The sequence below is a fragment of the Homo sapiens genome, chromosome 9 (assembly GCF_000001405.40).
Source record: "Homo sapiens chromosome 9, GRCh38.p14 Primary Assembly".
Taxonomy (NCBI): Eukaryota; Metazoa; Chordata; class Mammalia; order Primates; family Hominidae; genus Homo; species Homo sapiens.
Genome location: NC_000009.12, coordinates 116,199,001 through 116,212,536, shown reverse-complemented (window position 1 = coordinate 116,212,536; position 13,536 = coordinate 116,199,001). Strand labels below are relative to the sequence as shown.

The following is a 13,536-nucleotide window of genomic DNA, read 5'->3' as shown; positions in this document are numbered from 1 at the left end:
ACACAAAAACTCTTAGCTGCAGGTGCAGTGGTAAGGGCTATGACAGCCCTGAGGAAGGGGTGTCTTGTTCTAATTTGCCAAAGGTGCTAAAAGGGCTCCAAGGCCTTGATGTATCCCATGCTAAAGGGAAGTGCAGGGCATCCCCTAATGCTCCTAACACTGTTACTAGTGGTACTCAAAAGTACTATGATAAGATATATGCAGTTAGGAAAAAAAAAATCATACTCAATCTCATGTCATAATTTTCTCTTTGCAAAGTCCAAAGCACTCTCATTGTTCTTGCAAAATAACAGAGAATGTGAGAGTTTTATGCTTATCTAAGGGACACATGGGTTAAATAAAAAAGGTTCAACAACCACTAGCTTAGAAAAATGTGCTGCACATTTAGGAAGGATCATGGAGATGCTAGTCCAACAATTCCATTTTCTTGAGAAAAGTGAAACCCAGAAAGAGAATGACCGAAAGACATTAGGTGGATAAGTGGCAGAGCTAGGCCTTCCATCCTTAGAAATGGTAAGTAGCTTGTTCAAGGTTCCCCTGAGCCAGGATTGGATCCCACATCTGACATCCAGACCTGTTCACCCTACAGAGTGTAGGGCCCTACCTGCATAGCTCATGAAGTTGTTGTAAGGAGTGTTGAAGAAGCTATGAAAGCCACAGGTGTCATTTCCTGGCCCTGGGTCACCACAGGACTTGTGTTTAGGGGCTGGGTTGGTATCATTGCAGAGGTCTCCAGTCTCGAAGGAGGGCTCTGTCTCCATGCAGGGGTCACTGCAGGACTGGATTTCTGAGATGCCTCGGAAGACGTGATAGAGGCCCAGGCTGTGACCAATCTCATGGATCATGGTGTGGGTGTGCCCAGGCATGCCATAGAAAGATGGGTTCAAGACAATGCCACCTGTAAGGGGAAATCCAGAGAATCAGGCAAACTAGGTACTCTGCTTCTTGGTGCAAGAACCCCCAAGTCCATCAAGGATAAAGAGATGCTGCCCAAAATAAACACAAGCTTCTCCACCCTAGGACTCCATTGCCCTGAGAGCTGTTACAACCTATGGCATGAATCATGACTTATCAGAGCAGGAAGGAATCTCAAAAGTCATTTTGTACAATTCCTTTATTTTTCATATGAAAACGCCAATGCTTAAAGAGGTGAAGGGACTTACCCAAGGTGATTTCAAATTATTTCAATGGAGAGCAATTCAGAAACTCTGATTTCTGGGCCAGTAAACCTTTCTGCTGCAACCTTTCCCTTACAAAGTAAGGCCTACTCTTATTTCCAAATATTCTACATATTCTTGTCTAGACAAAGCCCTCAGGCTCAGAGATCTTGGTTCTGGTTCCCATTTTGCCTTCACTAACTCTGTGACATCGAGTGGAGTAATTAGCATCTCTGAATCTCATATCTTCATCCCTGATGCTGTAAGAGCATGAACGCTAATGAAGGTCAGCACCATGCTGTATTCACCATTGTAACAGTTTTCATACTAGCTAATGTCACTTGAGCAGGACTCTTAATCAACGTTCTATGATTAATGACTATCACAGGGCCTGGAGCAGAGTATCTCATTAAATATGTGTTGAATATTTGCTGAATGTTAACTTATCTAAAGAAGTTTGTGAGGTTTAACTAATCTAGTGTGAGAACTAGAATAGCACCTCCATACATCAAGTACATCACTTGAGGACAAGCAGCATGATCATCACCTGAGAGCTTAGTAGAAATGCAGAATCTCGGGCCTCACCCCAGACCTACAGAAGCACAATCTGTATTTTAAAATGAGCCTTGAATGACTTGTCTGTATATTCTGGTTTGAGAAGCAATGGTCTATATCACATGCCTCAGAAGATTGAGAATTGCTTGGCTTGGGCAGATAGACAGAACAGATCTCAGCAGAATTTATGGGTAGTATTTGTGCTGTGTTCATTTTAGGCATTGGAAAGATGCATACAGGCTGCCAGAGAGATAATTAAACTTTAAAATTTTAAAATGTTTAAGGGAAGGTTAAAACTCAGGTCTGTGAACCTTGAAAGTAGGTACTTTAGGTGTAGAGCAGCATCTTCTAAAAGAATGGTGAGGAGGTAGGGTCTTGTTGATTTGAGCTGGCAAGCCCCACATGGGCATGGAGGGTTTTATCTTAGACTGAACCTCTGGAATGGTGTGCTTGCTCAGTCAAGGGACTCATAGAGTCTATGCAGAGGTCTCTGATTTTGAAGAAGGACTCTGTCTCCGTGTTAGGGTCACTGGAGGACTTAATTTCAGAGATTGAATTTCTGAGCAATTTTGAATTGCTTAGAGCTTTCTAACACAAAGATAAAGATGTGTGAGAGGGCATGTGAGTGTGCGGGTGTGCACATTCACTTGGGTATGAGAAGGGGGCAGGCAGAGGCAGGGAGGAAGAGAAATTGAGACAGGAAATCTTTCTCAATTATTTTCTGTCAATCATAACATGAAACATAATCCGCTTCCCACCCAAGGCTTTTTCCAGGGATCATGGTGTAATAGCAGAAAAAGAGGGGAAAAATATGGTTGTAATAAATTGGGTTTGATTGGGGCTACTGCAGAGGAATTACTCATGAGCAGCATCTCTTGGGATGGGGAGAGGGCAGCCTGGAGTCCAGCTGGAGTTAGCTGACATAGGTTGCAATCCTTGTTCTGCTTCACACTGGCCTTGTGACTGTGGAAAATGGACTTTGCATCTCTGGTGAGCTCTAAAATAAGCAGCTACAATAATGCCAATGATTCTCTGTCTCTCCATGAAGCTTCATTATTGAGGTAATGAGAGGACAGGACCATTCCAGGGATGATGATTGGATTGCAGACTTAATGTCTAGGCTAGCCCTGTTTGCTTTACCTCATCCCCTCCCAACTCACCCCTTTTCACAGAGTGACAGCACTTGGGCCCCAGTCCTGTTTCATTGCTTCTCTTAAAAGGTGAAATAGCTTGAGCCTGACATCATCCTGAAATACTATAACATGCTATGGATTTATAGCCTCCCTTATTCCTGGCCCTGAGCCAGACTCTGAAATTTATGGAATTATCAGGAGTAGTTTTTTCTAACAGTAGAAGCCTGCTACTCAATCCTTCTCAGACTCTGATCATGGCCCTTTCAGTTGCTTTTCTAATAGGACAGAATTTCAGAACTGAGAAGGATCCTTAGGGTCTTCTGGCCTCCTAGGACCTGCTTATTTAATATTGAAGGACATTGAGACCTGAGGAAGGAAAGAGAATTGCCTAAGGCCATACTGCTAAGTAAAGTCACAGCTGAGAACAAACACGAATTTTGGCTCTAGTCTAGCATTACTCCCATATATCATACTAGGCATGTGATATAAGCTGATCATCTTCAAGTTTGCCTAAGCTGCACGCTCTCTTCTGCCCAACCCCACCTGTCTGTGTCTGTCTATCTGCCAATCTATCTACCCATACACCATATGTCTCAGGATTTCTCAACCTCAGCACTATTGACTTTTTAGTCTGTATAATTCTTTGTAGTGGACATTGTGGACATGTAGCAGCATCACTGGCTTCTACCCACTAGATGCCAGTAGCATTCCCCCATTTGTAAGAAGCAAAAACATCTCTAGATATTGCCAAATGTCTCCTGGGGCATAAAATCCTCCCAGCTGAGAACAAGTAGATATTTATCTTTGTATCTATCTTTATTTATACAACCACACACATGCACACACACGCACACACACACACACACAAATTGGTTTCATTCTCTAAAAAACAATTGAGAAATGAGAGTCGTCTGGAGGGAACTAAGTCTATGGTTTCATTGAGCAAAACTTGCATTATTTAAATCTCTCATTTCCAAGACAGAATAGCAATGGAGAAGCTACTGGACTCTGTTTCACCAGGAGACCAGGCAGGCCTGAGGATACATCCAGCACTGTCACTGCTGAGCCTGAACATTCTCAGATAAAGATGTTCACTGAGTCATCACGATTCATTCTTGTAAATAATGGGAACATTCTACCAAACGGAAAATGATTAAATAAATGGCAGTGCCCTTGTTCAAGGGAATATTATGTGGCTATTAAAAATCTTGGCTTTAGAGAGGGGAAAATAACCCACAAGGGTGCTTTTCTTTTGTGATTAAGTGAAAAAAATATGGGTGGGAAGTTAAGGATAAGACTTCTGCGACATGGAAAAAAAAGTAGATAGCATAATATTAAGTGAAAAAAGAACACAGAATTTCATCTATGCTATGATTTTAAAAATGTACAGTTAAAAAAATGCATGTTTACATATAGATGTGTCCTGGAAGAGAGCATGGAAAAAATAAAATTAAAGAACTGCAATGTTTGCTTACAGGGCCTGGTTCAGAAACTGTTGTCATGTCTAACTTTTGGTGATTGGTTTGTACAAACTTATGTCTTGTTTATGGATATGTATAATTTGAATGTAAGAAGAGTTCCTGTTGGTGTTGGTGGGTGGAACATGGAGGAACACAGAGTTCTTGCAAACTCACTTTTTCTTGCCTCTTTGGTGTCTTTTAAGCCAACCCATGACTGGCTGTGCCAGTACAGTGTGGTTACCAGACTGAGAAGATATTTGCAGGAACTAGGAGACAGAGGGTATAAGGAGAAAGCAAACAATGGGCAGTGTTGGAAACTTAAATTCCAATTGTGACTGTCACTGTCTTGCGTGTGATGTTGGATAAGCCCCATTTCCTCTCTGGGTCTCATTTCCCCATTGATAAAACATGGTTAATAATATGGTGCTATTTCCTTCAGAAAATTGCTTGGTGGTCAAAATGAGATAAAGGATGCTAAAGAATTTTGTAAATTAAAAAGTGATAAATAAATCGGTTGTTCACCCTCACAACTACCACCACCACCATCATGATCGTAACAATGATCATCATCGCACTAAGTGTATTACTGTCCTACTCTAGTTGCCTCCTGAAGGAGTTTCTAAGACTCACCTAAGTGCATCAGGGCCTCCTTGTCCCATGGCCAAGTTGCTACTCCTGCCAACTCCTCCTCTGAGGATTTTGCAAAGAAAATATTGAGATGTGTTGATCCATCCAATTTAAGAATGTTCTTCAGCTCATTAACATCCAAGTAGGCTCTGAAACAGAAAAAGAACCTTGGCTGTTATCATGCCCCCAAAAAGATAACAGGCCCTCTCCAAATAATTTAGAGCTACTATGAGTGCCAGGCATTTTGCTAAGCACTTTAAAAATACTACCTTATTGAATTCCCCCAATAATATTATAAGTAAGATGATTCCATTTTACAGATCATAAAATTAAGTTCTCGAGAGTTTTAGAGACTTGCCAAAGTTGTTAGGCTTCTTATGAACACAGAGGTAGGTAGTATCGTTATCTCCAGAGGCTTAGAGAACCTTCTTCATACCTTACTAAGTTCAAGTTGCTACTTAGCAATGTTTTCCTTTTTCTTAATGCTGTCTCTCCCAAGGAGTTCTCACAGAGCCCAGCCAGTAGCACACATTAGTGATGGTTTCCTGCTCTTCCCCTCTTAGAATAATAAAGGGTCTCCCCATGTATGAAAGACAAAGTTCAAGTTCCCAATATAGCCTCCAAGACACAACCTACTCCTTAGCCTCATCTATCTCTACAACCTTTCTTGAGCACCCCACTGCATACAGAAAACATCTCTGTACCCTGTACGGTGCATTATCCCATTGGCAATTTTATTCATGCTGTTTCCTCTGCTGGGACTCTGATCAGCATTTTGTTCTCTAATGAACAAATCCAAAGTCTGTTCTGGTATCCCTCCTCCAGGAAGACTTCCCTGATGCTCTCCTCACCTGCACCCCTTTTAACATCTCCATACTCGTCCACCTCCTACTAGCAGAGCACTGTCTCTCATTTGCCATTTCAATAAATTGCTTCCTCTTTCTATTACATAATACACACTTGTGGCCACCTGGGGGAAGGCGAGGTGCCTTATTAATCTCTGTTTACCCAGTTCTCCGCACAAAGCTTGATACCTGGTGAGCCCTCAGTAGATTTTGATGGAATTGAATTAAATTAGGGAAAGTAAGAGTAAAAATATTTAACTCTCAGTCTCAAATTCAATAATTCCTGACTAATGGGGCCTCAGTTTCCTTATCAATACATTGAAATTAGTAACAGCTGCCTGATGCTCCACAGATCATTTCTATGGGTGGAAAACCTACACCTCTACCCTGCTGTGAATAGGATACGTCTGAGATCTAGCGTGTCAAGGCCGCCCATGTCACAGAAAGCCCCAAGCTCACGAAACCAAACATTCCTGTGACCATAATTTGTACATGTTTTCACAAAAAACATGAGTTGGAGATAGGTGGGCCCAGGAGAGCTTACATTTATGTCTAGGTGTAGCTGACTAATTCCAAGAATAGCCACACAAACTCAGATATTGACCTGAAATCTCGCTGCTGAGCCCTTCTCTTCCCCAAGAACCCACATTCAACTTCTTAGGCTGGAAATCTCATGAGGAATTCTAATCAGTCTGCTCTGTCGTCAGGGAAGAGAACGAGGAAGGAGACAGCCAACATTTATTAAGCATTTGCTGTATGCCAGACCCTGTGCTAGGTACACATGTCTCATCCCTGTTTGGTAGTTGAAGCAATGCAACAGAGTGGGTGAGATGGCTCATTCTTAAGCTACAGCCCTAGGTTTTGAATCCAGCTTTTCCACTTTATGTCTGGGCCACCCTGGGCAATGTACTTAACTTCCTGCACCTCAGTTTCTTTATATAAAGAATGAGGGTGATAATACTACCTACCCCATACAGCTGTTCAGAGGGTTAAGGTAGTTAATAAAGAGAGTGTAAAGGGCTTAGAATAATGCCTGGCATGTAGAAAGCCTCAGTGCATGTTTAGCTATTCTTATCACTTATCGCCATCATACAGATGAAGGAAGAGGGGTTCAGAGATCACACAACTGGAGACAAGGCCAAGTACAAATCTAGATGTGTCCAACCCTTCCCACAACCTCACCCTCATTTCCAAGCTCACCCAGGCCCAGAGTGAAAAGAGAAACAATGCATGGGAGGAGAATGAAAACACAGAGGAGCTGAGATTTTCTTGGATCAGCCCTTTCCACATAATTTATTATTTTCTAATTGATTTGTTCATTTCCATCAAATGTTCTCTCAGGCAGAGAACACAAATGTTATTAGAGAAAGCCACCTCTGCCCCATAGCTCTGAGATGAGAAAGCTTCAAGAGAGAAAAAGGGTGGGGTAGGGGCAGGGGAGACATTTTAATTGGTTGTTTATTCAGTGGTAATTGCAGAAGCCAATCTTTTCAAGAAGTGGTATTCATCCTAGCCCAAAGCAGAGAAGTGGGATGTGGGAGCCTCTTCATGGCTTGTATGTGATTTTTTTTTTCATACTTTGGGAAGCCTCCATTTCCCTAAGGGGGAAGACTCCACAGCAGCAATCCAGGCCTCTCTCTTCCCCACCTCTCCTAGGGGAACCCACCCAAAGGGGGGAAAAAAAAAAAAAGCAACAACACAGCTCTGTGGATGAAAGTTTTCCTTTTGCTGCCCGAGGTATTCCCACTAATACAGAGCCAGGCTGAGTGTCTCTCAAATATATCAGGGGGAAAATCTTTGGGACAGGAGTCCATGTGGGTATTTACCTCCCTACCCCTATGCCTTGAAAGGATTTTTTTTTTTCACTTTTGTCAACAAGATAGAAGAGAAAGCACAGGAGGTCAAATTTAGAAGGAACATTACTGTCTAGGGATAGTGAAGGTGAGAGAAGGAAAATGGCCATGTGACTTACATTTTGCAATTTTTGGGAAGGCTGTCCCTGTGTATACATCGTAAATTGGTCAAATGTACTTTAAAATGTCAGGGCTGGGCATGGTGGCTCATGCTTGTAATCCCAGCACTTTGGGCAGCCAAGGCGGCAGGAATGCTTGAGGCCAGGAGTTTGAGATCAGCTTGGGCAACACAGGGAGATCCCATCTTTACAAAAAATTCAAAAAATTTAGCTGGGCATGGTGGCACATGCCTGTAGTCCCAGTACTTCGGAGGCCGAGACAGGAGGATTGCTTGGGCCCAGGAGTTCAAGGCTGCAGTGAGCTATGATTGTACCACTGTACTCCCACTTGGGCAATAGAGCAATAGGCCATCTCTTAAAACAAAACCAAAAGCAAACAAACATTACTCACTTCCCAGAAAAATCAATCAAAATCCCAGACTCACGCAGAGTTGGACAGATAGACCTATATCTATGGGCAAGTTGTCTGTCCAACTCTGTGCATGTATTAGTCTGTAGATTAAGCTGTGTGTGTATTAATCTGTAGCTTAATCTGTGTGGCTTAATCTGCGTAGAAGCTTTGCTACTCAGAATTGGACAGATAGACCTATATCTGTGGACAAGTAGGTTTAAGTCTCTGAGTATCAATTAGCTCATGCGGATCCCAACAGGATTAAATAAGACAGCTCAGCACAGTCCCAGCACATAACTAGAAAATGTGAGCCCCCCATATCCTGGTCTCCTATTTTCTCCTGCTGGGAAAGAACCTAAACTGACAGTCTGCCTCTGCGTGGCTCTCCCAGTCTCAGCTTTCAGTGTCTCTTCCTCATTACCCAGCCTTCTTCCTTCTACAACCTCAACCGCTCAAGTTCTCTTGGTTTTCTTATTCTGAGAACCTCTAGTTTTCCCCAGTTATGCCCAACCCTTAAGAATGCCCATTAGTTTCCCTCCTCTGCCTTGCAATCTTTCTTCCTGATGATTGGCCCTTTAAATCTTATGAACCCTGCAAAGTCCAGCTTACATGTGATGCACTCCATGTATCCTCTTATGACCACTCTCATCTGTAGAGTAGGGATGATGATGACCACCTGTCAGGGGCATCATAAGGATTAGAGGCAACACGGGTTAAGTGCCTAGCATGGTGACTGGCACAGAGAAGGCATCACTGATTAGGATAGGCTCCTTTTACTGCATTATTGTTAGCAAAACAAAAATTATTAACAACACTCAAATCATCATCATCACCTCTATCTGAAAATGAGTCCTCCTTCCTCTGTGCCCCCTACTTTTAATTCCAGTACTTATCAATCTGCTTTGGGTTATATTCACTGTGTGAGCATCTGTCTTTTCCATCAGGTAATGAGCTTCTGGCAGTTGGGACCAAATCTTTATTATCTCCGTATCACTTAAAAGTATCCTTCAAGAGAGAACCACCACCGATGGGCAGCTACTGAGCACCTCTCTCTCAAATTACATAGTTTCAAAACAGGATGAGCAAGGCCAGAGCTCAAGGAAAGGGAATTACTTGCCCAAGGTCATATATCTAATACAGGTTGTAGAAAAGCCTGCCAACAAACCTCTCTGCTCTAACCTGTGTACATGTCACTTGTGTATAGCAGCAATTTTGTATCATAAGTAAAGTCATTTCTTCCTTCAGGTGGACACAGTTCCCTGCAAAGTTTAGAGAACAAATCATGGGAAGGATGGCAGCCTCCATTCTCTCCCTCAGCTGGACACCTGGGTGTGGGAACCTGCATTGCCTGAATATCTGACCACTTCTCACTATACTCTGCTGGTTGTTCTGCAGCTCAGGGTCCGTACCTGTTCAGTGAGGTTGTGAAATAGATCAATGTCTTCCAGATCATGGTCTACAGAGGGCTAAATTTGTAAGAAAATGATGAATATTTAAAGAAAAATGTCGCTGAGTCAAATGGATTTGGGACATGGTCTGTTAAACAAGGTTAAATACATATTTTTTTAATTGCAAGAATTTTTGGAGCCTCAAATATGCAAAATAAGAGTAAGACAGATAGCACAGGAAGTGTACCCAAAAATATGTGACCATAATTCCTCCTCCACACCCCTCCCCTTACACACTTCCACCTTTGCCAAAAACCAAACAGCAGTACAAACAACAAAGTTTGGAAAATGTTGGCTAGATTGAAATGTCCCTCCTGATTTAGAAACTTTCCCCTGAGCCGCCTCTCAAGAGTGGTAACTCAGTGTCTCTTGTCTTCCTACACAACCCATGCACCTGGATCCCACTATTGAGATTGCGGGTCCCCTGGAATGTCTATTTCAGGGAGCCCAGCCCTGATTGCCAAGGCGCCCAGACTTTACCCCTTTGCCAGAACTGCATTTCAAAGCCATGAGTGCAGTTCTGGAGGGAGATCAAAGCTCTCTCAACTCAACTGTCATTAGAATATTTTCTTTATGCATCTCACTCGTTGGTAAGTGCCAACAAAATATTTCCTAAATGCACTGGCCTGAGATGGCACAACTCTGTAATAATCTGAATGAGAGGGCTGTCAGGGCCTGTTTTATTGAGAGAGAAGCAAAAGGGAACCACATTCAAAATGCAAAACAACAACAGCAACAACAACAAATCCGTTAAATAAAATCATGGGAAAAAAGTGTGAGAAGGCCTGTTTTCACCTGTAGAAGCATAATACACTGGCCTTCCCGTTTCAATGGTACAGCTTACAGTGAGCCCAGATCAAGACTGAGGACTCTCAATTTCTATTCCCACTCAAAGCAGGTCACTCTTCAGTGGACTTCCCCTATGCAGAAGTGATAGCTGAGGAGATCTTTAAGCAATGTCACGCCAGAGTCATGCTTCCTGGGCTCTTGATGGGTGCGGCTGGTCACAGAGATGGTACTGGCCATGCGTAGATGCCCTCAACTGGAGGAAGGTTTGTGTGAGCTGAACACTGGCCAAGAGTGGGCCACTTTTAAGCAACCTAGAGACTGGAAACAGTTCTTTCAGGTTAGAATAAAAGGCAACAGAGGGTGATTTTAAGAGAGAGACAAACTGGCGTTCAAATCCTCCTTCTTCCACAAAGTGGCTCTGTGATCTTGGACAACTGACCCTGTCACTTGGTATCTCAATTTCCTCACATGTGAAATGGGAATTAGAAAATTCAACCAAGAAAGGAGGATACAAAAATTCAAGGAGGTAATGCACAAGGAAATGCCTAGAAGAGTACCCAACTCATGAAAAACCCTCGAGATGCAGAATTCTGTTTTAAGCTAGTTCATGGATTGAAAGAAAACTGGCCTTAGCTCCCAGTGCCTGTTGGGTTCCCGCTCCACCAGCCAAACCTGGTTCCCAACACTGGATTAATGTGTTTACCTTCTTCACAGGAGGTTGTCCTGTTTCTCCATCTCATAGAGCAAATTCTGTAACATTGCCCATTTCCAAATTCTGATTGTAGCTTGTCATTCCCAAGGAGGTTCTCAAGTCCATGAACCGCTACTTAATTTTCAGAACACACCAGACCATTTGAAAATGATTATCAAATATAAAGATCAAAGCCACTTAAGGCAAGTCATTAAAGCAAGATAAACCTCAGAATGTTTATTGCATCCATATCCTTGTTCCAAATAACAAGCTTTCTCCAAGCTGTGACCAGTACAAAAACCTGAATTTTGTTCTTTATCCCAAGGGCCCTAACAATCTGGACTTGATCCTCCTGCTTAGTTTCATTGTCAAAAATACCTAAATCTGCCTCTCCAGTCTATAAAAAGAGACACAGAAAGAAAATGCTGGGAGAGTTTATTAAATTCTTGGAATCTTGAATGATTAGTTTCCAAAATAACAGATTTTGTATGGAAGCCTGACATGTAACATAATAGCATCAATCAAAGACTAATTGAAAATTGATCATTCCTTTATTTAGTTATTGAATGAGTCATTCTTTCCTTACCTCCATTTTTTCCTTTCTTTTTCCCTGCTTTCATTCTTTCCTTCCTTTCTTCCTTTCTAATTTCTTTCCTTTCCACATATCATTCATTCATTCTTTTCTGCTTTCATTCATCAACAACACTTACTGAGATTCTATTAAATACCATGTTTAAGCCAGAAACTTTGCCTACAGACAATGAAAAAAAGCATGATTTTCATTATCAAGGTATTAGAAGTTTTATGAAGAAAGTGAGACGAATAAATGAAAGATCACAACATAATATGATAACATTAATAACACTACCATTTGGGAAAGTTTACTACACACTGGAACTGTTGAAGTATTTTTGTTATATTTTTGAAGCTTTTCAAAAGCCCTAGAGTATCCCCAACTTATAGGTGATGGAACCAAGGCTAAGAGGGCTGACACCACTTTTCCAAGGTCCCTCCACTTGGAAAAGTGTCAGAGGGGGGACACAACCCCTAGTCTGTTGGATGCTACCGACCATATCCTTAGCCATTAGTCTCTTACTTCCTGTTATTATATGTGTTATGATAGAGTGGGTGGGTGTTAAATATAATGAGAGCATACAGCAATGACACCCAGCTGAAGGAGGGTCAGAAGCCACTGAGGTTTTCACATAAAGAATAAACCTTGGTTTGATATTGAACCAAGTGTGGGAAATAGAGAAAATGGCAGAAGCTCCAGAAAGCCCAGAAGCATAGAAGCATGAGAAGAGACATTACAAGCCCTCACTTGCAAGGTTGAGGAAGATGAAGCTGGAGGGGACAGCAATGGCTACATCTGTGCTATAGTTTGGATATTTGTCCCCTCCAAATGTCACATTGAAATGTGATCCCCAATGTTGGGGGTGGAGCCTAGTGGAAGGTGTTTGTGTCATGGGGGCAGATCCCTTAAGAATGGCTTGGTGTCATTCTCATGGTAGTGAGTTCTTACTCTACTAATTCCGGTGAGAGTCGGTGGTTAAAAAGACTCTATCGTCTCCCCACTCTCTCTCTTGCTTCTTCTCTTGCCATGTGATTTCTGCATATGCTGGCTCCTCTTCCCCTTCCAAGCATGAGGGGAAGCAGTTTGAGTCCCTCCCCAGAAGCAGACACTGGTGCCAGGCTTCTTGTACTGTCTGTAGAACCATGAGCCAAATAAATCTCTTTCCTTTGTAAATTACTCAGCCTCAGGTATTCCTCTGAAGCAATATACAGCAAACTAAGACAATCAGGAAGGGTCTTGTATACTAGGCAATGGAGAATTGAAAGTGTCCTGGGAGTCCCAAGCAGACCCTGGCAGATTTTATGTAAGAGGATAAAATGATCTGGTTTACATTTTCCAGGGAGATTTCTGAAGGAATTTGGGAGATGGAGTAGAGGTGGTGAAAGTGGAGAAGGAGGCATTGGCAGTGTCTCACAGCAATAGGAATGTATATAAGAAGTAGTGGTATTCACACATGGGGAAAAATCTGATGCTGAGTTAGGGTGGGAGTGAGGGAAGCTGAAATGTTGGTCTGGTTTCTGATTTTGTCTCCTGTAGTATTTTTCTTTTATCAGTCACAGACACTACATATCAAAGCCCCCTTTATTGCTGCTCTAAATGCAGAGATTTATCTGCCAACGGCATGTCCTTTGCTGAGTCTCTTGGAAGGCTAACCCATAGGAAAATCACTGGCCTTCAGCTCCTTGTGGATTGGATCGTGATGGGACCAGGTAATGGGTGGGGTGGAGAATCCTGAGAATTTGGTTCAGAGGAAACCAGGTGCTGGTTCAGAGAAGCAGAGTGTGCCAGTGGCAAGGTTCTTAGACTTTTGGGATATTATTAGACTGATGCACAAGTAATTGCGGTTTTCAACATTACTTTTAAATGGCAAAAACCACAATTACTTCTGCAGCAA

The 13,536-nt window shown here is 42.3% G+C and overlaps 1 protein-coding gene across 2 annotated transcripts in view; it reads right to left on the bottom strand.

The window, feature by feature from the left end:
* PAPPA (pappalysin 1) overlaps nucleotides 1-13,536 on the bottom strand; it is a 248,531-nt gene that overhangs the window by 189,785 nt on the left and 45,210 nt on the right. For both annotated transcript variants that reach the window (NM_002581.5, XM_017014784.3), the window contains exons 3-4: nucleotides 4,936-5,081; nucleotides 605-898 (exon numbers count right to left, since the gene is read on the bottom strand). In NM_002581.5, coding sequence (NP_002572.2) covers nucleotides 605-898; nucleotides 4,936-5,081 — 440 coding nt within the window. The remainder of the gene's footprint in view (nucleotides 1-604; nucleotides 899-4,935; nucleotides 5,082-13,536) is intronic.